A 27,645-nucleotide genomic window follows, 5' to 3' on the forward strand; every position below is an offset into this window, starting at 1 on the left:
TCATTATTTATTACGTAGAAATAAAGGCTTAGAAGACAAGAGTGACTTTTCAAAATACCTACATTTCCTGAGCTCTAATTTTGTCATATTTCCATTTTTATTTGTAAATCTAAATGTACCATTTTCCAGTAACTAGCAATCTTATAATTCACAACAACACATCTTATGCAACAAATAACCAAGCCAAACTGTCATATTCTACCTACGGAGCAGTTGTTCTGGCAGCCCAGCAAGAAGAAGGAGAATAATGTTCTCCACTTGTAGCATGCAGAAATTCACTAATCCCCTTCTTTTCACGGAAGATCTTTCTGTCTTGTGTCCTCTGGTCTAGACATTGGGTTTATCCTCTTTACTGAACAACAGAATTCTCAAGCTACTCAAGATGAATGAGGGAATCAAGGGGTCTAGCTACTTTTTTTAATACACTCTTCATAAATTCCCTATTTTTTGGCCTTGTCTTCACTCTTATTTCCACAGCTACCTGGTACTACCAATCTTGAAACCTTAAGTAGGTTCAGTAGTACACATTATGATACTTCTCCAGTCTGGTTAAGGATTTAGCTTTCTTGGGTCTGCTAAGTCCAACCTCATGTAGCCATCTGCTTTTCAACTTCCAAAATGTTGTCATTTCTGCTCCTTTCTATTCTTTTTTTCCTTCTGGGCTTATGATTTTTGACAAATCCTGTTGCTTTCATTTTTGTGACAATCCAGGACAGGATATAGAGATACACTTGCATTTGGTCTGCCATTTTTAAATGAAATCCTCATTAAACTAATTTTATAAAGAAGAATTTCCATCGATAAATTGTATCATACTTTGTCTCAATGCTTAGGAATTTTTTATTTTTTTTTTTTTCAAAAGACTGACTGGATCTATGAGATCTATTTCCAGGTGTGACTTTGCTTACTATAAATGGTCAATATTCCAAGAATGAACTTGGGCTTGATTCAAAACTCAACTGCAATTTCTTAACTCTGCTGCATGATTGTATTTTTTTTTTTTTTTTTTTTGGATGCAGTTTCACTTTGTAGCCCAGGCTGGAGTGCAGCAGCATGATCTCAGCTCACCACAACCTCTATCTACCAGGTTCAAGCGATTCTCCTGCCTTAGCCTCCACAGTAGCTGGGATTACAGGTGCAAGCCACTGCACCCAGCTAATATTTTGTATTTTTAGTAGAGATGGGGTTTCACCACGTTGGCCAGGCTCGCCTTGAACTCTCAACCTCAGGTAATCCACCCACCTCGGCCTCCTAAAGTGCTAGGATTACAGGCATGAGCCACTGTGCCCAGCCTGTATTCTTTAGGACCTTCACTGTTCAATTAGCCTGCCAGTAAGCAAGGATTAGGGAAAACAAAATGAGTTATGACTTTCTGTAGATATTTATTCACTAAAAATTATAAAGAATATTAAAATTTGTATTTTTAAATTAAATTTCCAAATTCTAAAACATGCAGTCTTGCCCATCAGCTGCCTCACTCTTATGACTTATAAAGTTGTCAATATTTTTTATGGGCAAATGTAATATAAAGCAAATTATTTTTTGACATTGTTGAATGATCTCCTCTCAATCAGTGAAAACACATTCTCTTGCCATTACTGACTAAGCAACTGGTTTTATTTTTAATACATTGTGTGTAAATGAACAACCATCCATCTTCTTGTAGTCATAAATATATCTGATAAAAGATGATTCCCTAACAAAGGAACCACGGGCGTCTAGAAATAACAGTTTATGCTGCAATTTTTATCTTAATAACGGTATCAGAAAACTGATAATTCAACATCAATAACGTGTTCCAATTAGAAATATATTTATTATATAACTAGCAGAAAATGTTGAAGACTGGTAGTTTCTGAAATTCTTCTCAGAGACCATGCACTAGAAACAATGGAACCACAGATTTGCTAATTAGAATTATTCCTGAATAATCATTAAAGCAAACAGCAGCTTTTGCGTTTGAATTTCACATGAAAATTCAAACACTTTTGAGACCAATAGATAGTTGAAATAGACCTATAGGAACACAACTACTGAAATTAAAAGGTATTCAGTTGCTTGTTTCTGTTCATGAGTACTAGTTTTATTCTACAGATAGTACCTACAGTTTGCAGCAAATAAGCCAAAACAACAAGAAAATATCTTGTTTGGTTATACTAGAATTCAATGGCTGTTAATGCTCTATTACACACTTAAATTAGTTTTATGTTTTAGTTTTATAAATTAGTCTTCTCTGCATATCTAAATATATATTTCCTAATGAGGTTTAATATTCAAGGAGATAAATATGAGAAAATGCTTTGAAACCAATTATAGGAATAATCTTACATAATCTGCAAATGCTGATCAAAATACATCATTTCTACAATGTCAATACTGGGAAAATATAGCTTTATTAGGTTGAAAATAATTATTTTGACTTTTATGATAATGGTTAGATTTGATTATATGTACATAGGGATAAATACAACATTGAAAACACTAAGCCACATAAATTTAAAACATCGTGTAATTCGAACAGCTTCTTACTAGTGGTTTATTTTTTAATGTTCTCATTAAAGTTCCTGATATTAAATTATAAGGAAAAAAGACCTAAGAATTTAGACTTAAATAATAATTAATTACTTCAGCATTTGCCCAAGTTCAATCTCTAATCATCACTCTCCTGCACTGTATAACCTCTGTCCAGCCCATCTCCACATGTCCAGTCTCATCACTTTTAAATTCATCATCTACCCAGAAAGCCTACACTGCATAAAACCTTTTCATCACTTTTCGTATTCAGTAGAATAAATGCCCAACTTTTCTAACCTACTAACAAGCCCTCTATGACTGTATGACTTGCTTCTTGCCTTACACTTCAGCCTAAAGACTAAAAAATTGGACTGTCACAGATCCAGAAACACTAGAGGTTTATAATGCTAGTTCACTGAACACCTGGCTCTCTGGAACCATCTTTCAGAAAAAAACCTTCTCCCTCTAACTTCTCTTTTCCTGTTAACTCCTAATCATCTTTGCAACTCAGTAAAGACACCACTTCTTCTAGGAAGTTTTCTATGGCTCCCTCCCTGACCCAATACACATCCTCACACTTAAAAGTCATCCCAGGAATGTTGGACCTACCCATTGTGCGCCCACAACTCTCTGGGAATCTCTCTATCACTACTTATGTTATTACCATATTTTGTTGTAATTATGTTACTTTACACCCAATGAATCTCTGATCTTTGTGAAGTCAAGAAAAATGTTTTCCCCTTCATTGAATGCGTAATAACAGGTACCTAGACAGACCATAGTAAATGCTGGTAGAATGAATATATAAATTTGATATAATTACATATGTCCAACCAGGCTGCTTATAAATTGGCAGTCTGGAAATTCAAGGGAAAGCTTTCAATGATAATTTTTAGATTATAAATACAGTCTGTACATTTGTATAAGAGTGGTATCAGCTCAACATATTCAGTGATGGATATTATTTGATTATCTGTATTGCTCTGAACAGTTACAGTTTAAAAATATCAATCCATAATGGGGAGTATTTTCCATGCCATGTATATTGAACTATTGTTCTTTAATACATGGCTAATTAAGTCTTTAACAGAAATCAGTACTCACTTCTTCCTTCAACTAAAGTTGAAAGCTTAGCTTAAAATGAATTACTTCATTCCTCAAAACAGCAAGTTAAATTTTTCAACTTGCTATTTTATTCATGTAATGCTGTGAAGTTTACCTGAAATTTTTAAAAGTGCACATAGTATAAGAACTCAAAAGTTTTTGAATGAATGCTAAATTACATTGCCCTTCATCGAGTCATACATACATTTTCTTGCTTTCTTTTGTTTCTTCACATTCACCTTCATTTCTTCAATTTCCACCTTACTGTATATGAGTATTGTATATTCATATGGTCATCTGATTTTGAAATAAACCCAGTGCACATAGCATAATATGCTTACAGGTGAATTCATCTTCAACTTTCAACTCAGAAAATGCCCTATATTCTTTCCAATAGTAATACTCTGTAATGGCATGGTGGTTGGTTCTATCACTATATTTAAGCAAAATAAAAGTAGCTGCTAAGGACTAACAATTTGCTAAAATGCTACTGTTCTTGTATTTAACAACTAATATGCTTGTCACAATAATTTACTAATGGGGTTATTTAATGACCTGATAGGATTAACTTCTTTTCAAAGCAATTAATTACAACCTGAGTATTATTTATAGCTGGATAAAACTGGCTCAAACCAGCTTTGTGTGTTTGTTGATTTTATTTATATATGCTTGAAGGGGTGATAATTTTGTAGGTTTCCTAGAATATCCATTTGATAAATAATCACTAATTTCATTGTAAAAAGTACAAAATATATTACTTTTATCTTAATTATAAACAATAAAACTAATGTTCAATAAAGGTATCATCCCTAGTTGTTCCCTCTGTTAAAATAAAATGCTTTATTTATTCTTTGCTTCCTTCCACCCCATAAATGTAAACTAGTATTAAGACCCATCATAAATGTAAAATTAATTAACAATGTAATGTCCCTTGTATATACTTCTCTACTATGTCATACAGTTTCTTCACACTACTTATCACTTTCTGTTCTGTGTGTTCCTGGAGAGGACTCAAGGTTCTTTCTCTCTCTCTCTTCACCCCTCCCCACCAACCTTTAGATTCTAGTAAAGCCTTCCTACTCAAAGGAGTAAATAAAACCTTACTACTTCACTAAGAAGAGGCTAAAGCAAAGTGAACTCACTTGGCTGACATGTTCCACCTTAGAACTTTTTCTGTCTTCACTATTTTTGTGTCAATGGGAAAAAAAATATCCTTTCAACTTTCAAAAGCGAACATTTCTGCCTATGTTCTTCTTTTCTGGTCTCTTCCTGTTTTGCTCACTCCCCGCTTAAATTTAATTATCATCTCAAACATCTGTTTTCTACTCACTTCTTTATCTTGCCATAAAATGTGTTTATATTTCTATATTAGGAAAACAAAACCCAACTGACAAACTCTCACCTCTTCTTCTCCCTTAAGCCACTGTATCATGATTTACCTCTCCATAATTATTGTATGAGGTACCATGGAAGTTTGAGAAAACCACAGGTTTGGGTTTCTGGTTCTGTCCTATTACATATTAGAGGAGAAATAATTTAGCATAATGCCAGTTATGTTTAAAAATATATGCTCATTTGATTTAACATATAGCATATATGTAGGTATACATATTAGAGTTGTAATGAACTCATTATTACAAATTCATTTGAAGAGGGTAAACATAAATCCCAAGATCAAAGACTTGCCTACAGTGTTCTCTCCACCTCCTTCCCCCTCATTTTCTTGTGTGTATACCAATTAGCCTACAATGGTAGAGACCATATGTTCAATTATTCGGCATTATGGAAACATATAGAATCGAGGAGGACTGATGTTATGTTTCCATAATGCATAATGCATATTTTCCTCCCCTACTTTAGGAGAATACAATATTTAACTGTGACTATGGGAAAAAGTTAATTTTAGAGACCCATCTAGTTGATACTTGCCAAAATAAGATAATTTTTAAATGTGTTAAGACATATACTACGCTTTGATAAAATAAAAAAAATATATAGAAATCCAGGAACAAAGCTCTATGGAAGAAGCAAACTTAAAGTCAATCAAATTACAATAAATATTGAAATTTCTCTTGCAGAATAACTTTATTGGTTAGTAAGAAAAAGGGAATGAATTTACATATCACTTTTATGATGAACATGCATCTATGAAATAAATCTTCATCAGCTTTTGTAAAACAAGCTATATGTTAATTAATGTTAAGGAAATTTGCTTTTTAAAACTCCCCAATCTAATATTTTTAAGTAAAAGATTTTCTTCTCCCATTCATCTCTTTTTAAATATGTATATACATACATACACACGTGTATATACACATATACACACATAATATCAAGTTTTATTTTAAAAAGTATATATTTTCACACATAGGAAATATTTAGTATTTCCAAGTCAACTTTTTTTTTTTTTTTTTTTTTTTTTACGGAGTCTCGCTCCGTCGCCCAGGCTGGAGTGCAGTGGCATGATCCCGGCTCCAGCTCACTGCAACCTCCGCCTCCCAGGTTCACGCCATTCTCCTGTCTCAATCTCCCTAGTAGCTGGGACTACAGGCACCAGCCACCACATCCGGCTAATTTTTTGTATTTTTAGTAGAGATGGGGTTTCACCATGTTAGCCAGGATGGTCTCTCGATCTCCTGACCTCATGATCCACCCGCCTCGGCCTCCCAAAATGCTGGGATTACAGGTGTCAGCCACCGCACCTGGCCCCAAGTCAACTCTTTAGCAGGCTCAATAGTATTCATGAATACCAGCTGTGTACATCAAACAGCTGATATTAAAACACAGTGCTCACTTTGGGAGGCTGAGGCGGGCAAATGACGAGGTCCAGAGATCGAGACCATCCTGGCCAACATGGAGAAACTCCATCTCTACTAAAAATACAAAAAAATTAGCCAGGCGTGGTGGCACGTGCCTGTAATCCCAGCTATTCGGGAAGCTGAGGCAGGAGAATGGCTGGAATCCAGGAGGCAGAGTTTGCAGTGAGCTGAGATCGCACCACTGCACTCCAGCCTGGGCGACAGATCGAGACTCTGTCTCAAAACAAAAACAAAAACAAAAAAGAGTGCTAACAAAAGTTAGTCATCATGTGGACTAACCTTTTTTTGCCCTATTATCATGAAAATCCCTCTAGCCACACAGATTCATCTAATATATGATCTGGTGAAAATAAGGATGGGGCAATGGCAACACCAAAACACACTATGAATAAATCATGTTGAAATAATATTCTTAGATACGGAATTAGAGCCTATTCATTTCAGTGTGTGTGAATATCACACTCTGTGGAATTGGTAGTCACACAGTTTCACTGGGCTATAATTTTTTCTCGTTCTGCATAGGGTGGTTATGAAAACTAAATATGTAATCTCGTCAATGCCATGGCATCTTACTGTGTGCCAATTTCAGTGAAAAGGTAGTTTATATTATTTCTATTACTCCCAACAATCATGAACTATAACATACTGATTGCATTTAACTAGCTTCAAGATTCATACTAGCAAATAGCGAGGAGATACTGCCACTAGCATCATTTGCCACAGCCAAGGATACCAAATCTACCTCTCCTGCCCACACTTCTCATATTATTTCCCCAGAACTAATCAGGTACACCTAAGAGCTTCCTGGATATTTCCACCAGGTTGTCACAAGGAATCTCAAACGTAAGAAGTCAGGAAAGATCTCATAATCTCCCCTTATTTTATTTTATTGGGTAATTGTCACCACCATCCATTTATTTGGTCAAAAGAAGTGTTGAAAACATCCCGACTTGTACCTATTTCTTAGATCTTTACCCTGCCTTCTCCTTCTGACTCCTGTCCTTCACTAACAGTATCTAATCAGTAACCAAGACTCATTCATTGTATTTCCTTATGTTTGTTTCCTGCTCTCAGCTCTTGCAGCCCTACCTTTGGTCCTCAATTTTCTCTTGCTTGAATTATTCCAATAGCCACAATGTAAAAATCACCCAGTGCTGGTCTTGCTCTTCTCCAAACCATTTTCACAGTGCGACCAAACCTATCTCACTAATCTCTTACCTCTCACATCAAAATCCTTCATTTTCCACAGCACAAAGTAAACACTCAATAACTACAGATAACTAAACACATTTGCATTGCCATGTGAAGTCTCCTGAATCTGGTCCTGGTTTGTGTTTGTCCCTATTTGTCAGCACACGTCTCTGGAAGTGAAAACTCTAGCAAGAATATAGAGCTGTTACATATGACATTCCCTGTATCTGGGTGCACTCCTAATCCCTGCCCCAGCATGTCTCCTGAATTATCCTTTTCCTACAGAGGCTTATAGTCTAGGATGAATGAATAGAAATATATACATGTAAGTGAGCAAAATTTTTTGGATGCTCTTATATTGTGTTATATATTGTGGGAAAAAAGGAATAGTCAAAGTCACAGATTAGAAAATATTTACATGTCTGTCTCCCCCAAAACTGTAAGCCTCTTGATAACAAGGTCACATTAATCACAGATCAGGAACTTGGTATTTACTGAATGAGTAAATGAAGTTATATAAGCATTAATGTGGGTGAAATCCTTAGCATTATTAAAATTATGAGAATGAAGATAATTTATTTTATTACTACTTTAAGCACATGACTGTTGATATTTTATCAATGATAAAGTTGGATTCTAAGGAAACTTATAAATATTAGATTTTTCAAATAGGATTTTAAGGTCATGAGGGCATATATATGTGTGTGTATGTGCATATATATGTGTGTATGTGTGTGTATATATATATAGCTATAGGTATAAAACTATTCAAAACATATATATGTGTGTGTGTACATATATATGTATAGCTATGAGTTTAGTACTTTAAACTATAGCTTAAAGTACTATTTCAAATAGTATTTTAAGGTTGTGAGGGCATAATTAAGTAAAACACACACAAATATACATGCATATATTGTATATCTACATAATATATATATAACTATACATTAGTTTTATACCTTGGGTATAAAAACTATAAGTCAAAAGTTTTCTTAGTCACTGCCTTATTTTGCTTCCTCTTATTAGAGGTCTTAGTAGTCCAAAACCTTTAACCTCTTTAGGGAATTTTGCTTCTCATATAACTCGTTGATTTTAGGCTGCTTTCTGATCCTACAGAAACAAGGGTCTTCGAGTGAAAATAACTTTAAGATAATGCTGCCTTTATGAATTTTAGTTTTTCCTTACTCTGCCACCTCAAGCTTCCAGTTTTCAGAAAAAATGACTATAAGTTGTAAAAGGCTGGAAGCTAGAACACATGCACGCACACACACATACACAGGGGAAAAGAGAGCATACTTAAATATAGTGGAAAGCAGTTGCAGAAAAACATAAGATTGCTTTACCACTAAAAGTCTAACACATTTCGGTCTCTACCACTGTAACAGAAAACCTCACAGATGGATCAATCACTAGAGATTAATACTCTGTCTTTTCTAAGCCCCATATGATCTCGTATTATCACCCAGAATGTTTCTGTCAGAAATTCTAGTAATATAGCTACCAAAACCACATTAGAATGGGAAAAAAGGCACAAACATAACATTGATTCAACTTGCCCTAGAGTACTCCATTAACCAAATATTTCTACAGTCAACAGGAGAGGAAAACAAACATGCACACAAAATCCCAATAATGTATTTACTTGACTGTGCCAGAGTGGTTTGCTTTAGAAAATAATTTGAGTCCATATACTTAAAATGTTTATATTTTAGTAATTACAAATAGACATTAATATAATAAGTGATCATGCCTCCCATAAAATAACAATAGTATTTTTCATTATCAATCTTTTTTCACATTGTTGTTTTTATTTTTGCTTTTTCTTTTTGTGTTTTTCTAAGTATCACAAAGGCCAATCTGAATCCAGTTTAAGGCAAAAGGAATAAAAAATTGAATTAGTCAGTCTTGAATTTAATAAATTTTTACAATAGATCAAACAGATTTTGAACTAACATGTTTTGATCCACCACAAAAGAATGCATTTCTACCTAATCACATTATCTTCTAAATGAAGAAAAATCACAAATTCTATTCAATATCCAGGTATTTTTCTTATTCAGTATTCAGATGAGTCTATCTTTAATTAATTTATCAGTAATACTTTTCCTATGGTTTTTAACAAATTTTGCTACATAACAAATGTGTACTTATTTGTTATTCATAGCAAGATGATGAATATGCTTGCATAAAAAGTTAAGGACATCTTCTAAAATAATTCCACTGTACTGCCCTGAGCACCTTGAATAAAAGGAACTATGCTCTGGATGGCTTTTTGTTATTTCCTGGCTGAAGTCAATAGGTGCTAATTGTTAGAATTCATCATGAAGAATCCAGAGGCAGAACAATAAAGTGAAAAGGAAAAGTTAAAGAGGTTTTATAGAAGTCCTAGCCTAGAGGCTAAGATAAATTTTTTTGTATATGTATATTTTCTTTTTTCTTAAGTTATCAAAAATTGATGTGAAAAATAAAACCATTCATTAATAGTGTTTAAGATATACTTTCAGAACCATCAGTCACTTCACAGAAACTAATTTCAGTTCTCATTTATTCCTTCTGTGATTTATTTTATTTTATTTTATTTTCAGAACCAGAATCTCACTCTGTCACCTAGGCTGGAGTTCAGTGGCACAATCACGGCTCATTGCAGCCTTGACCTCCTGGGCTCAAGTGATTCTCCCACTTCAGCCTATTGAATAGGTACATCCCACTCTGCATGGCGAATTTTTTCTTTTTGTAGAGATAAGGTCTTGCTATGTTGCCCAGGCTGGTCTGGAACTCTTGGCCTCAGGCGATCCTCCTGCCTCACCCTCCCAAAATGCTGGGATTACAGGCATGAACTACCCTACCTGGCCCCTTCTGTGTTTTAATTCTTGGTTGTGTGTGTGTGTTTTTTTTCTTTGATTACAAAATCAAGTATAAAGTTATTTATTGAAGATGTACTTTAAAAGGACAAAACACTACACTTTAGAAATAAAAACAGCAGCTTGTGTTAGTAATATTTAAAAAAAATAACACAAGCATGGTATCAGGAAAACATATTTTTGGATACACCTTTCAAATAAGCTATTTGCTAAAACAGTAATTAAGGAGTGAGAAGCAAGGTTGGTTTCTCACCATGGGGGGTTTCACAAAAATTCAGCTATTTTAAAGTTCTAGTACAAAATAATCAGGGATAGCTATCTCTTCTGCTACCTATGTTGTTGTTCTTAAATTCCACAAACAGATGCATGCATGCAAAACAAGTCAGGTTCTATTAGACAAAAGTTCACTTGATTTATATTTCAACTAGATTTCCACTTAAAATGTTTTTTCTTAAAACAAGAAGAAAATATAAGCAACTAATGTTCTTAAGTAATTTTTTGGTGCATCATCTGCTGAGCAAATCCGCCCTGCTACTCATTTTTTTAAATAAAGTTTTATTGGCACATAGCCATATTCATTTGTTTACATATACTCTAAGACTGCTTTCATACTACAAATGTAAAGAGCTGAATATCTACAAAAGAGACCATACAGCCCACAACATACAAAATATTTGATATCTGTTCATTTATAGACAAATTTTGTAGACAACTCACTTTATTAGTTAGAAATTTAAATATAAGATATTTTGCTATCTCTTAATAGTCCTCTCTATAATTTGCCAATTCAAAACTGGTCTTCATGCTGAATTTGGCCCTCTATCTTCATCCCTTTGGCATATAATCTAATTGAGGCCCTCAAAATATCAAAAAATGTGAATGCCATTTAATTTTTATAGGAGAGGTTCTTATTTTCTAATTCATCTTGTTGATTAATCATATGTTTATATACTTAAAAATTTTTTTTATCTATATATTATCACTGCAAGTTTCTGTTGGTAACAAGCAGGCTGCAAATGAAAAGCAAATGAAAAATCATTATATACTACTTACATCCATTAGGATAGCTACTATCAAAAAACACACAAAAACAAACTAGCAAATGTTGGCGATGATGTGAAGAAACTGGAACTTTTTTTCACTGTTGATGAAATATAAAATGGTGTAGCTACTTTGGAAACAGTATGTTGGCTCCTCAAAAAGTTAAACAGAGTTGCCAAATTATCTAGCAATTCCACATATGGATGTGTGGCCAAAAGAGATGAAATCAAGGACTCAAAGAAATATCTGTATAACCTATGTTTGTGGGAGCATTATTCCCAATATCCAAAAGTCAGAAACCATCCAATGTCCATTGATTGATTAATGTTAAACAAAATGTGATATATACATAAAAAATTATTCAGTCTTAAAAAAGAATAAAATTGTGACACATGCTACAACATGAATGAAGGTTGAGACATTATGCTAAGTGAAATAAGCCATTCACACACAAAATATATAATGTATGATTCCACCCATACTAGGTACATAGAATAGTCAAATTCATAGATTTGTTGCTTAATAGGTATAGTTTCAGTTTTGCAAGATGAAAAGAGTTCTGTGGATGAATAGTGCTGATGGTTGCACAACGATGTGAATGTACTTAATCCCACTATTCACTTAAAGATGATGAAGGTGGTATATTTTATGCTATGTGTACTTACCACAATTTTTAAAAAAGAATTAATTTAAAATATTTTTTAAGAAAGCATAAATAAATTTTAAAAAATGATTAAATTCTGCCAACTTAATGTATTAGCCAAGAGTAGGGCTTTGGTTTCAGAGGGACCTCAGTTAAATCCAGGTTCTAGTACTTGAGAAGGTTACTTAATATCTGTTAGACACCATTTACATAAATGTAAAATAGAGATATGAATAATACCAATCCAAAATTACTTTGTGAGAATTAAACATGACTTTGCACAGAACTCAATAAATGTAGCTATTCTATTTATTATATTTATATGCACAAAGTTCTTATTTTTAAAATGCATTAATTACTTTTCTAAATATATAATAACCTCTTTAATTTTTCTGTAACATATAATTGCTAGCACACTGCTAGGTATATTGCAGAAGCTTAAAAATATGATCAACCAACTTTAAAATGTGATCAACCAACAGTGGCATTAAAAGAGTAAGAGAAGTGGAAAAATACCTGACTGTGATACAATCTCCAAAGACAAAAGAAGGGCTATTTTTTCCTGTAAAATGGAAACTTAACCAGGGAGAAATTAAATAGCAATCAGTTTTAAACTACAGTATTCTAGGAATGATAAATTTATTAGTAAAATATAAATGATAAGGCTCAATAGACAAAACTACCAAGTATTTTTTTTAAAAAAAGGAAAGAATAGAAACACAAAATAAGACTTTAAAGATCCAAAGCAGCAATTTTCCAATTAAATATTACTTTATTCTCATAATGGATGTATTAATATAATCTTTGACTGATTAACCCAAATACCAATATCTTAATCTCCAAATTTAACTTATGAATTAAGAGTTGGATGCACAACGTATCTCAGTAACAAAAGCAAAATGAACATCTGTTAACTTTCTGCCATGTAAGTTTGTGTATGGTGGGGGTGGGTGTGAACAGAGCCTCTGATGTGTAATGTTCTTTCCATCTGCACACCAGGTGGCACTGCATGGTTAATCAGAAGATGACAACACACATCAAGATTCCTTACATATTTTGAGATAGGAAAGTAAATAAGTCAAAACGTTGTTTTAAAAATAAAACTTTCTTAGATGTCCACAGTATTAATGCTTAATAATGCATTTTAAGAGTTTATGTTTCTGACTTCATATTGTAATCATTCTTGCAGTATTGTTTTTCCCATAAATTCCTGACATAACTTATAACAGTACTAAGTAATATGAGTTTAAGAAATAGAAAAGTAATATAACCAAACTAGATTGTATTTGGGAAGGTGGGAACAATATGACTGTTTTGGACACCTCTTAAGCCATTCAAAGGCAAGATCTGAAGAAAAACTGATTTGATATAAATTTCAATTGCATTGCTTCTAAAATAGATTTACTTAAAATATTTAATGCAGTCCCTTAAAAGCTTTGGTCTTGCTTTAGAGTATACAGGTGTTAAGCACTTAAAGTCAAAAAAGCTGTTTAAATGACAGAGAAAGAGATTATTAGATCACTTTAATCCTGCTAACGAAAGATGGCATAGCTTAACTGGAATAAACAGGAAATAAGGAACGGATAAAACATAAATTATCCCCCAAAATTTCACATTTCTGTACTTTGGTAAGATTGTTCTAGAAAGAAATATATATCATATATGGAAATATGCCTAGTTTCCTCCAACTTGCATCAATCCCTGCCATTTCCATGCCATTTTCCTTTTCTCTTACTAACCCCTCTTTTCTTCTGTGTATGTCTTCTTCAGTTCACCAAACTTTACATAGCAGCGATTCGTAAGATAAGAGCTGTGTGGTTTGTAGTGTGAAAATAGCTATCCAACAGTACATCTCCTAGCTCTATTTGAAAACCACTGTGTACTGTGCACATGAATACAATGTAGTCTTGAATTCTCCACATTTAGCTTCATTGAATTACAGTGGGCGGAGGGGAAGGGTTGTGTACTGTGATGTTCCAAAAGTCTTCTTGACAATATCCACTATCTCAGTAACTTCTAATTTTGTTAAGTATCCTAAAATTTATCCTTCAACATCAATATTCTACCTTTAGAGGACAATGCAGACCTATAGTATGATTACCAAACGTAAAACAAAACAAAACATCATGATGATCCTAAGGACAAATGTCATATGCTGAAGCCCTAATCTCAAACATGATGGTACTTGGAGATGGGGCCTTTGGGATGTAATTAGTTTTAGTTAAACTCATGAAGGTGGGGCCCCCATCATGGGATTAGTGCCCTTATAGAAAGAAGAAACGTCAGAGGTCTTTCTCTTTCCATGCGGATAAACCAAGGAAAGGCCATAGGAACACACAGGGAGAAGGCAGACATCTTCAAGCCAGGAAGAGGGCCTTCACCAGAACCCAGCCATGCTGGCATTCTGATCTCAGACTTCTAGCCTCCAGAATTGTGAGAAAATAAATGTTTGTTATTGAAGCCACCCAGTCTATGCTATTTTGGCATAGCAGCCCAGCAAGACTAAGATAATACCCATAGTATATGTTCACTAATAACCCCTTCCAGGTTCAAATGATAATTATCTCCCACAAAAAATGTAACTGGCAGCCATAAATAGCAGTTGAAAGACAACATTTTTCTTAGTTCAGTAATTTTCCAATTCTCTTATCAACTTCACTTTAAGAGTTAATTAAACCATTGGAAACTACTAAAAGAAAATTAATGCTTAAACAATGAAAATACCAAAAAGAACTGTTTTACTTCTCTAATTTAGGTAACTACCATAAGTAAAATATGTCTTTATTCCATGAAACATATATAGAAAAATATAATAAAAATTCCTCCATGTCTCCATCCAAAGAAATACAAAGAAGATAAACACAAAGAAGGTAAATGCAAAGAAGATAAAATATTTTAAAATATAATTTGTGTTTTATAAAAGGTTTTTTAAAATAAAAAGAATATAAGCTGTATAATGTTAAAATAACCTTAGTGATTAATAAATTATCTCCTTTTTTACAATAATACGGAAGACATCATGAGTTAATAGGGTTAATTAGAGTTAATAATTAATCAATACTTCAACAGATATTTATTGATCATCTACAACATGTAAAGACTTCTACGAGTAGAAAAAGCCATGATTTTAAAAAACATTTCCTTATATCATCATCTTCATCACAAAACGCTCATTAAATACCCTAGCGAGTACTACCATTAAAAATTAACCAAAAATACTTAAAGAAAATATCTGATATTCAGCACAGTAATGTAATACTTGACATAATTATAAGGCATCAAAGTAGGAATGACTTAAGAGTGGCTTTGAGTCATTAATCAGAACTAATGAATATGTCTTTGCATTTTGTCAAAAACAAAAAAAGATAAAAGAGGATGCTTGGAAAGATGCATGAATTTTAAGCAGTGAAGTAATCAAGTATAATCTCAAAATTTCTCAACAAGTTATTACATTGCTTTTCATTTCTTCCATTGTTTCTTTTTTTTCTTTTTCCAATTACTTAACTTCAAAAAACTTTATTGATGTTGTATTATGTGTTAAGAAATGTGCTGAAATTATGCAATTCAAGGATAAAAACCAACACCAACTCTCATAAATGTTTAATATACTGTGTTTGTGTGGGTGACAGGGGAGGGATATATGCACACAACCAAAAATGACAAAAGGAAAACTATATACTATAAATGACATATATTTCATTATATATGAACACAGAATAAACTTTTCTTTTCTTTTCTTTTGTCTTCTTTTTTTGTCTTTTCTTTTTATTTATTTATTTACGTATTTATCTATTATTTTTTTTTTTTTTTTGAGATGGTGCCTCACTCTGTCATCCAGGCTGGAGTGCAGTGGAACCATCTCACCTCACGGCAACCTCCCCTTCCCACGCTCATCTCCCATAATCAAACTATTTAGGAATCAGTGGCAGTTTGGTGAGCTTGGAATCAGAACAAGAAGATTCAGAGGTCTCTAAAATAGACTTCTCTGTCTATCTTACGACCTGGGCTCAAAGAACTCCCGGTCCATTGATTCAGGTGCCTTAAAAGAGCCACTGTCAATATTGCTGATATTTCTGCAGGTTCCTTTTCTTCCTCAATACTTCTAAAGATGACCAGCCCCCATTGCCTGCTTCTGCAGATTAATATGTGCTTTCTATAGATATGTTAATATGATCAAAGAATAATTGCCCTACATCTATTTTATCTCCTTCTGGGGCTTTGCATGAACTCATTAAGTAATGATTTAATGAACTCTCAGCTGGAATTCTATTTCCCTCATTTCCAAAATCTTGGGAGCCATTTTACAATTACACCGAAGTACTTACAAGTGACAGTAGATTAAACAATATTACAAATTAAAAAAAGTAGATTGGCAAAATACTCAAGACTTGCTTTTTGCTTAAAATTAAGTCAGGTTTATTTTTTAAAATAATCTATTCATAGTTGTGGATAGTGACTAAACAATTTACATTTTTATCTGGGGACAGAAGTAAAGCAAATGGTCTAAAAACTTAATTGCATTTTCCTCTGAATAAATAGAAAGTATACACAACTATGTACAATTTAAAAATTCCTGATTAAGAAGCCAATTAAGAATAACTTTTATAGAGAATAATTCTGGCTTTGTGAAGGCATGAGAGATTTAACTAAAGGCCACTCTGTAGCAAATTTAATACCACAATCTCTCGATGGATTTTTTAAATTATAATTATCTGTTATTTGTCTGTTATAATATTTGGGAATCTTCACATTTAAAAAAATATTATTTTCTGATGGTAACTAAAAGAAAACCAATTTGTGATAACAATGAGAAAAATGAGGCTAAATATAAAGACTAATTCTTCTTGAGTATCAGCTTACCCTCTTCAAGAATCTTAAGTGAGATGCTGAAATGTAGACAGAGTCATGTTGGCTTTGAGTCACAATTGAAGTATGGATATTTGCACTTGTTATTTTTTTTTTTACTTTCTTTATAAAACTCACTTTCCATGCTTTAGTTGCCATTTACTTCTTTTCTGTTACCTTTGATAGTCTTAATTTTCTTACCCATCAAAGAGTGTTAAGAATATCGACATCAAGGACCATTTTAAGAGTTAAAAGGATAGATCATGTTAAGAATTGAGCCTGGAATATTATTCACTGTTACTGCTATTATTACCAATATCACCACTGCTAATATCACTATTCCTACTTGGAATAGTGTAATACCAAAATTATAATAATGTAAAATGTATTCCCCCTGGGTTTGGGCAATGTTATAATACTCCAAAATTGCCAACTTTGTTAAGCAACCTATAAATTTACTTTATTTTGGAAAACAGTCAAAAGAGTTGCATTTTAAAATCAATAACTAAAAATACGTATAAAGTTCCTACTATGTACCCGCCACTTTGCTAGGCACCAAACATCTGTCAATGAAGAAAGCAGACAGAATCTACAGTCTTTAAGAAGCTTAACTTCTAGTGGTGGAAACAAACATGTAACTAGTGAATTATAATAAAGAAGGTGAAGAAGTGCTATACTACAGTAAAAAGTCCAGTCTGAACATAGAGAGCAGGAACACAGAGTTTGTGTGGGGTGGGGGGTGAGGAAGATGATTCATTAATCCAGGCTAAAGTATGAAGGTAGGGAGTAGATCATCACAAGTAAAATAATTGTATCAAATAGAAAAAAAGCATCGAAGTCAAGAACACAAATATGAAAACAAAGATAGCTCTAGGTCCATGTCCAAAACTTGAGGTTAAAAAACTTCAGATAAGGTAAAACTAAAAACAGTTCAGAATGGCTGAATCACATAATTTAATAGGAGAAGTGACTAGAGACATAGCTGTGACCAAATCAAGAAGAGCCTTGAAAACCTTCGTGGGGACTTTTCTTTATCTGGAAGGAAATATGGAGCTATGGAAGAGTTTTAGTGAGGAATAATGATCAGATCTGATTTCAGCATGATTACTACTTTTGTTGTGTGAACAGTGGTGGCCAAAGAGACTGGTTGAGGCCATAGCAGTATCCCAGTGGCATTAAGTGAGGGGAGTGGTGGTAGCAAGAAGTAAGTTCAAGGAAAATCTTTTGGGTGGACACAAGTAAAGCACTTGGTGTTGAAAAAGACTATTCATCTCTACAACACCTTCCTGTAGTTCCTGTTTCGTAGTGTCTACTGTGACTATTATAATTGATTTCACTGCATTTTCCCCTTAGCCCCTTCTTTCTCATGCATTCTAAAAACAAAAATTCAAAGAAAGAAAAACTTGGCAGAAGAACATATAAAGTTTGATCAGTTACCTAAATGTGTCTTACTGGATGTTCTTTCCCTTGCATGCTTGTTTAACCTTTTTGGCACTATCATGTTTTATGAGGCTATGAGATGAAAACTATCAGAAGATGAACAATCAGAAAGAGAAAAATAAATGGGCTTCTTTAAAACAAAGACGAAGGGTCCATCTCTTCAGTTATCTATAACAGTGACTCTTAAACCTGGCTCTAGAATAAAATTACCCACAGAACTTTAAAAAAAAAAAAAGGAACTATACCCATGTCCAGCCCGTCTACCACACTACGTCCCACTCCTGAAATTGTGCAATATGGTTGTTCTTTTTGAATGTCTTATGATATTTCTGACTCAATTTAATACCAACCTAAACAACGAATTCAGATTTCTTTATTGTTTTTTAAATTCTTAGCACAGTGTTTGGGACATTGATTGTAGTAATTCAATACTTATTTAACTCACTAATAGCTACTTATTGATAGGTGTTGAGTATACTATGGGAAAAAGGTGTTTAGTCCATCAGAGCCCTTACATTGTATAGCATTGGCTATCAAACTTTAACTAGAGCCATATTTAAAAAATACATTTTATTTTAATGCAGTGTGAACGTGCAAGCACACACATCAAACACACATACACACAGGTGAAAAACATTTTTCACAAAATAACACTTGCCCTAACCATAGCCAACACACTTTGATATGTTCTATTCTATTATTTTCTGGTTATTTTTATAAAATAAAAAGGAAGAAACAATGGTTGTAACCTATTATGTCAATTTCAATACCAAACAAAGAGAGCCATCCAATATTTTTTAAAAGCCTTGTATAGTAGATGTTCCAATTCTACGTCTCAATATTTTCAGTAACATGCTGTCCAGGTGCTCTGATTTCAGTAAAACCACCAAAACTTTAGAGTCTTTAACAATGACTCAATTACTGTGAAGATAACAGACTAATTTTGAATAAGACATAGGGCTTTATCTCAGTACTTAGAAGAAGCTAAACTTCTCATGGTTCAAGAGACATAAGTCTTTAGAAGTAACAATGATGTACATTCAATGAGATAATTTCCTTGGACTGTGGTAGTATTAGAGAAAACTCTAAAAATGAGAGACTTTTCATGAGCAATATCATGCACTATAGTTAAAATCAGGAAACATGTGAACAGACTTGACTTAATACAATGGGCTTAATGAGCTATCTTCATTATGTCATAGTTAATTAAAAATATTTTTTATTTTACACAATCTAACGTAGAATAAGATAGTAGTTATAAACACATAAGATTAATAACTATGGCATTTCCAACTACAGAAAGAGAAAGTATCTCTTTTTTTTTTTTTTTGTAGACGGAGTCTTGCTCTGTCAGGAGGCTGGAGTGCAGTGGTGAGATCTCGGCTCACTGCAACCTCCACCTCCCCGGTTGAAGCGATTCTCCTGCTTCAGCCTCCCAAGTAGCTGGGATTACAGGTGCACACCACCACACCCAGCTAATTTTTGTATTTTTAGTAGAGACGGGGTTTCACCATGTTGGCCAGGATGGTCTCGATCTCTTGACCTCATGATCCACCCGCCTCGGCCTCCCAAAGTGCTGGGATTACAGGTGTGAGCCACCACGCCTGGCCTACCATCTCCATTTTTAAAAACTACCTATGTAACCAACATGTATGCACCAGGTACTAAGAGTGTTTTCTTTGCTACTAAGTACTTTACTGATCTCCTGTGTCAAATACTAATGATGATGCACACCTGTAACAGAGACTTTCATTTCTATCCTCTCTCAATATCTGTCATCCCCTTTCCCTATGATTCTAGACGTTTGATGGGGATTATGTCCACCCAGCAAAAGGCAATACTTCCCAGCACCCTCTGCTGTTGCCATGCTTATATGATCAGGTAACAGACAATGAGATGAAAGAAGAATTGATTTGTGTAACTTCCGGCTCATAAATATAAGACTGAAGGAGCTGCTTCCCTCTTTCCCACTTCTATTAGCATGAATGTGAACATGGTAACTACCCACAGACCAAAGACGGAATTCAGGTTTGAAAATGGCTTACATTGTTACATGAGAAAGAACTAAACGTTTATATTGTTTTACCCTCTATTGTTTTCTGAAACTGCCCAAATGTATATCCTAAATAATATGGAATTCCTATTCTACATTTCCTCCTACAAAATCAGTGAGAAAGGGTAGATAAAATAAGTGAGTAATGTTTAATTACAATATGGAAGCAAGGTTAATGAACAAAAACATGTAAGGTTGTGTGGCTGTCCAAGTAACCGCCAGTTATATGGTAATACAAAGGTCATAAATTCCCAAATCGACACTCATGAGTGTCAAATAAACATTTCCTAGAGAATACGGCTACTTGTCTTCCACAGACTGAAGCTTTTCTTTTTGACATGATGAAATTTTTCTCGTATATGTTTCATACAAAATACTGAAATAGAGCATAACTGCATTCCTCACATCACTACACCAAAATGTCAAAGATTCACTTCTCAGCATGAAAATGCACAGCACATAAATATGAAAGGACTCTACATTCTAAATGCTGTATTCACACCTCAGTGCAGAGTCAAATGGAGACAACTGTATTGTGAACCAGTATAGCATTATCAAATAATATACTTAAGGGGACTTAATAGTATAAAATTAAATTAAAAAGCTGAAACACTATTGATTATTTCAGTTAGAAGGTGTTTCGTGGTTATAACTACTCAGAGTGATAAACAATTTAATTATTCCACATTTTTGGAATAATTTGCTTATGTAATTAATTTGGATATTTCAATGTATTGGTTATTTTATTGGTCCATATTCCTTCAGTACAAAGATTCTTTGTAGATGAAGTTCTTACAGATACATGTATTAATAATTGTATTAGTATATACTCAAATAATGGAAAACATATCTTTTAGTACATTGGTGAATTTCAAATAGTTATTTGATAACATTATTAGTATTGCAGACCTAAAGCCTGATGAAATTTTTCACTTATTACTGACCAAGCATTTTTGATCATGTGTTTATTGAGAGTAATTGGAACTTACAGACACCTGCCCAATTTCTTTACATTAAATTATCAATACAAATGTAATGTTGAAAAGTAAAGCTAAAGTCAAATATAGTATGCCTAAAAATAGAACCCAGGGAAAATATCAGATCTTGCCTCCTTCCTACTTTTGATATACACAATAAATATAATATTGTAATTAAGATCATACAGACAGATACTAATGACAATGGCACCCAAAATTTTCTGAAAGGAAGGAGGTTCAGTTGAGACATTTAGGAGCTAGAAGACAGTGTAAATTTATATTGCTTTCCATAATTTTTTGCCTAAATAAAGGGGCTGACAGGCATGGTCTTAGAAATGGCATTTTGATAAGAAAAGTTTAGTAGACAAAGAAGCATTAATGATGACTGCACTTCAGAAAGGCAATGAAAAAGGACAGCTGCAAAACAAACATTACTCAGTGTGTGATCACTTAAAGAGATATTATTTCGAACTTCATATTCTGAGTGTGAACTGCCGAAGAGACAGACAAAGTAAAATACAGGACGATGAGTTTATATTAAAAATGAGTAACAATTTAACACAGTGGTCCCCAACCTTTTTGGCACCAAGGACCAGTTTCATGGAAGAAAATTTTTCCATGGACCGGGTTGGAGAAAGAGGATGGTATCAGGATGAAACTGTTCCACCTCAGATAATCAGGCATTAGTTACAGATTCTCATAAGGAGCATGCAACTTAGATCCTTCGCATGCCCAGTTCACAATAGAGTTTGCACTCCTATGATAATTTAATGCCATTAGATTCTAATCTAATCTAATGCTGATCTGACAGGATGCAGAGCTCAGGCAGTAATGCTCGCTTGCCCACTATTCACCTCCTGCTGTGTGACCAGGTTCCTAACAGTATAGTACTAGTTCGTGGCCCCGAGTTTGGGGACCCCGATTTAACATACTCCATTTATATGCCGTAATTGCCCATAGTACAAATCATATCAGAGAATGAATATGACATTCATGAGGCAAAGACTAAGTCAAGCCAACTTACTTGTTCTCTCTGGTCTCTCAGTAAACACTAAGTGGAAGAAAAATGTTAGAAAACTCATTCTCCATAACATATTTAGGCAAAATATGAGAAAACAGTATACAGTGAGTGCCTCAGGAGTAATACACTGTCTATGGGACTTTCAGAACACTGATGAAACATTTAAAAAATTCAACCAAATAAGAAAAGTCTTTAGAAAATTTTGGAAAATGAATAGCAAAGGGAACGAGCCAACTCCATCCTTTATGATCACTTTAATCAATTGTTTTTATCATAAAAAGAAAGCTACAGCCTCTAGACAGATTCTGAGTTTCTGGTGGTATGACTTGAAAATATTTTCTTCCTAGAGATTCTCACTGGTGATGATGGTGTGGTGAAAGAATGGGAAGATAAACATCTTGCCGAAATCTCTCCATAATTAAGGTGAAACAGCACTCCTACTTATAAAATAGAAATTTAGTTACTTGGCCAATCATTTCTATCTGTTATTCCCTGAACAAATATAACTTTCATCACGAAAATGTCTGAAGGCAGTCATTCTTCTGGATATTGCTAGGAAATAAAAAAATACATTATAAATAAATATATTTAAGAGTAAACTACTCACCTATTCCAATGAAAGCAGCTTTGTAGCCTTTTTCTTTCAAAGTGCTAAGAGTCATTTCATTCACTGAAAGGCTTTTACCGCAAATTATCTATAAGAAACAATATTTTGCATAAGAAAATTTGGCATATGATTAATTAAAATCTTAATATTTAACATCAAAAAGAATGAAAAGTCAGCCAAAAATTCTATGAGATTCCATATAAAATGTGACAACATTTTTGTCTTTTAGTATATAGGTTTACATACACAAAATAGTATATAAATAGAACAGGAACATGTTCTATTAAGGGCTAAATGCAGAAGAAAAGCCAGTGTCATTAAAACCATCAGTAAACTTCCATAGCTTGCATAATATGTTCAAAGCACGATGTGGGGCATTTAAATAATAAGACGATAAATAAGACACATTTCCAGCATCAATGTACAGTCAAGTAGGGGCAAAAGATATACACAAATAAATGTAACATAAAACAAGCTATGATCACCACATGTGTATGAGAGTTCAGAGGCTGGGGAGATTCATTTTAGCTAAGCTTAGAAGGTTGAGAATACAGAGAAGTGGGATTTCAATAGGGCCTTTAAAAGGAAAAGACAGGATTTTGATAACGGACAGTGTCAAGGGAAAATGAATAAAGTCAGGAAGCAGAGGGTAGTCACCCCTAGTAAAAGTCACAATGCTTGGTCAGTTCCCAGACATGAGATAATTTTCACTTCTGGAACCTGCTGACCAGGGAGGTGTCAGGGTCCCTAGGAAGAAAGACCCTGAAACATCCCTACAAGTAAGTACTGTGATTCCCCTAGTCCTTTCCCAAAGGAAACTATGGTCATTTATCCAAGCAACTAAGCCCTGGAAAAAGGGGAATGATCAGACATTTCAAGGACTATTAAGCACTGGTTCTTCAGTAATACTGATACTTGGAAACATAAGAGTGGGTACTTACAGGGTGAGGTAAAAAATGGAGCCTGACTGAAGTCTAGTTCACAGTGGGCCCACTGAAACCACAACTCAGTTAGTGATCGTTCTCCTAGTCTCTAAGAGCATAATTGAAATTGTTACATTTGTCAATTGAAGTAATCCCTACATTGGGTCTCTGGTCTGTGAAGTAAGAGCTATAAAAGCTATCATAGTTGGGAAGGCCACATGAAAATATCTGAAAATCCAGCCAAGAGACTAAATCAAAGATAATATCCTATCCTGGGTGCAATGGGATGGGGAGAGATGTTAGTGGTCCCTGTCATATCCCCATTTAATCCACCAGCCTGTCCCCTGCCAACACCAGAGAATTTCTGGAGGATGACTATAAATGTCTGCAGGCTTAACTAAAGAGTAGTCCTGATTGCAGTTTCTGTTACAGATGTGGTATTATTGCTAGAGAAGTTTTATAAGGCCACACATAGACTGCATGTGGCCATTGATTTGGCAAATGCATACTCCTTCCACTCCAATTACAGAAGGAGATCAGAAATAGTTCAGAGTCACAGAGTATAGATAAGAATATTCATTTACAGTTTTGCCTTAGGGATATGTCAACTCTTTTCAGTAATAATATATGTAATCTGAAGCGATCTGGACATCCCACAGAACGTCACAGTGATTCATTACCTTGACGACATCAGGCAGATCAGACAGCATGAAAAAGAGGTGGTGAATATGCTGGAAACTGTTAAGATATCTGCACTCCAGTGGGTGGAAGATGAACTCTATAATCAGGGACTGGCCTCTTGAGTGAAGTTTAGAGATCCAGTTATCAAGTATGTGCCAGTAAGTCCCCTTGAAAGTAAAAGACAAATAGAGCTGCATCTCACATTTCCTGCCATATAGAAGGAAGCACAATGCCTGGTAGGTTTCTTTGTGTTCTGAAGGCAAAATGTTCCTAAAAACAAAGCCCTTAAGCTGAGTCATAGAAGAAGAGCAATGTATACCCATGAACTGGTAATTACAGCTACACTGAATAGTGCACCTAAGTGTAAAGCTCTCTTCTAAGTACTGCATATACTGACTCATTTAATCCCCACAGCAGCCCCATGAAGTGTTATCAGTATTTTCATTTTACAGATAATGATACTAAAGGACAAGAGAGCTTACATAACCTTTATTGCAGTCAAATACATAGTCTAATTTCAGAGCCAACATGCATAATTGCTGTGCTCTTGTGCCTCTTGAGGTTAGAGGGCAGAGCTGGCACCATCCTCAAGGACAAAGAACAGCATATTATACGTGAAGACCTACTAAAAAGGTTGTGTTTCAAGAATATAAAGTGCAAAGCAAGCAATGGAGCAAGAAGTTGGAGAGGAGAATATGACTGGAACTGGATCATAGAGGGCAATGTTTTGTCTTCCTAAAATAGTAATTCTGTTTTTATATTGGCAGATATGGTAACTGTCAGAAAGTTTATAATAAGGGGACAACCAAGGTGAGATTAATAACGAATATTCAGAACTCTGGAATGTATCAAAAAACATTAAACTGGAACATTAATTAAATATGTATTATTCAAAGCATTTTATAGTAAGTAATAGTATTACTATTAGAATTAGTAGAATTCGATGCTATTAAAATCATCTAATAGTGAGGCTTTAGAACTTTAATTTATTCTAACTTTTAAATAATACATATTTTATTGAAAAAGAAAAATAATTTCGCTGTTTGTTTTATGAATCAAATACCCTTCATACCAATATATAATAAAGGTTAGACATAAAAGAAAACACCAGGTCCAAACATTCTAATAGAATATTAGCAAACTGAGTAAGTATGCCATTTTCAAAGTTGAGCACTGGAATGCCATGCCAATGAATTAATTGGTGGAGGTGATTCTCAAAATACTTAATCTTAGGTTTACTTTATTCAGTGCCTCTGCAGGAAGATTCAAGAAGACCTCCCATCCTTTTTGAGGTGGGTATTTGTGGGAGAAGGCACAATAGTTTAGTTTAATAGTAGCTTTTTGTGATTTATCAAAGAGGAATAAAGACATCCCAATTCTTCCACCACAGCAGAGTGAAAATGTCTTTGATTTTGTAATATATAAGAAAGATGCTCATTCTGTATTTATACAGTCTGATTCTACTCTAATACACAATAGTGTGCAAATGGGGATAGAAAACAGTTGAGTTTTCCTTTCATGTATGGAAAGCTGCAAAGATGAGTATCTTGATCTTGGTGTGAATCTACTGGGATGGAGACCAGCAAGACTTGACTTTACCATGAACAGACATTGTGGGAAAGATGGAGGATGGTCATCACTGGGCAGCAGATCCCTGGTAGAAATGAGGACAAAGCCATAACAAGAACATTCCAAGCAGTGACAGGCACAAGGCTTCCTTCCTTTTTGTGAATGGGAACCTATTCAAATTTCCCTTTCCTAAAAGCCTGAGGCCCCAAATATTTGCCATGCAAGAAATAATCTATTCTTAGAAAGAATTAGAAGAAAGATTCCTTGACAACAAAAGTAAAGCTTTGCTTACATTATGCTTTGGGAAATTGAAATGAAATGTGTGTTAACTAAAACTGGAATTGCAAGACAACTACAGCTATCAGGAACATCATGTTGGCTGATAAGCTATGAAATCTCAATGTTATTTGTTAAATATATATGATGCTAGAAAAATCATATTACGGGCATTTTGTTTGGTGTTTTTGTTTCTTTATTCCTTGTACTTTTACATATGTAATATTTCCATCTTGATTTTCTTAGATATACATTCTACCTTCCTCTAATGACTTTAGTAACATATTATTAGATATTTCCTACCTAAATTCGGAATACAAATTCAATCTATTTCAAGTTCAGTGTAATAGTCACTACTTTATTCCAGCAGTTCTGAATGTCATATACCCTGAGCCAAAGTTCCATCTAATAGTCTCTTAGGGATTTGATGAAAACTTTCTTTATATACTATAATATGTATTCATATACATAGTAACATTTATTATGCAGGATAAAGGCTGACAACTTTTTTGTGGAGTATAAATCTTCAAATAAAATAGGTGATGCCCATTATTTTTAAAAATCAAATAAAAACATACATACTCTTCACAGTTGTCTAATAGAAAATTTGGTTAAATAGACCAAATATTTCCAGATGCTCTAAGATAGAAAATAAAATGAAGAAATTTTGAAAGTATTTAGCTATCTTTAGAAATGAAAATTATTTATTAGCTATTAGTGTACATGTTTCCTTGTGGGAGAGAAATAATATGATTTTATATTTATTTTCTAATACTATCTCATAATCACAGATATTATTGGTTCAAATAACCATAGTGAAAACAAGATGTTATAAGAGGTTATTAAGAAAAAGGTAATACCTCTATTAGATATTTCATCTAAAACTACGAAGCAGAAGAAATGTATAGAAATTACAAATTAAGGTAATCAATTAGAATTCTATCAGAATACTTTGGGAAATGACAAATATACATATTTTAAATATGCAAAAATGCAATATCTTCATTCATATTTTATACTTTTAACTTTGAAAAATTAGGATATAAAGACCATGAAACAAAAATATGTATTTCTATT

The 27,645-nt window shown here is 33.8% G+C and overlaps 1 protein-coding gene across 6 annotated transcripts in view; it reads right to left on the reverse strand.

Moving 5' to 3' along the window:
• The window catches only part of DPYD (dihydropyrimidine dehydrogenase), an 843,317-nt gene that overhangs the window by 578,233 nt on the left and 237,439 nt on the right, over window positions 1-27,645 (reverse strand). For all 6 annotated transcript variants that reach the window (XM_047448077.1, XM_017000507.2, XM_005270562.3 and 3 more), the window contains one exon: window positions 23,120-23,207. In XM_047448077.1, coding sequence (XP_047304033.1) covers window positions 23,120-23,207 — 88 coding nt within the window. The remainder of the gene's footprint in view (window positions 1-23,119; window positions 23,208-27,645) is intronic.

The sequence above is a fragment of the Homo sapiens genome, chromosome 1, assembly GCF_000001405.40.
Source record: "Homo sapiens chromosome 1, GRCh38.p14 Primary Assembly".
In the NCBI taxonomy this organism is placed as follows: Eukaryota; Metazoa; Chordata; class Mammalia; order Primates; family Hominidae; genus Homo; species Homo sapiens.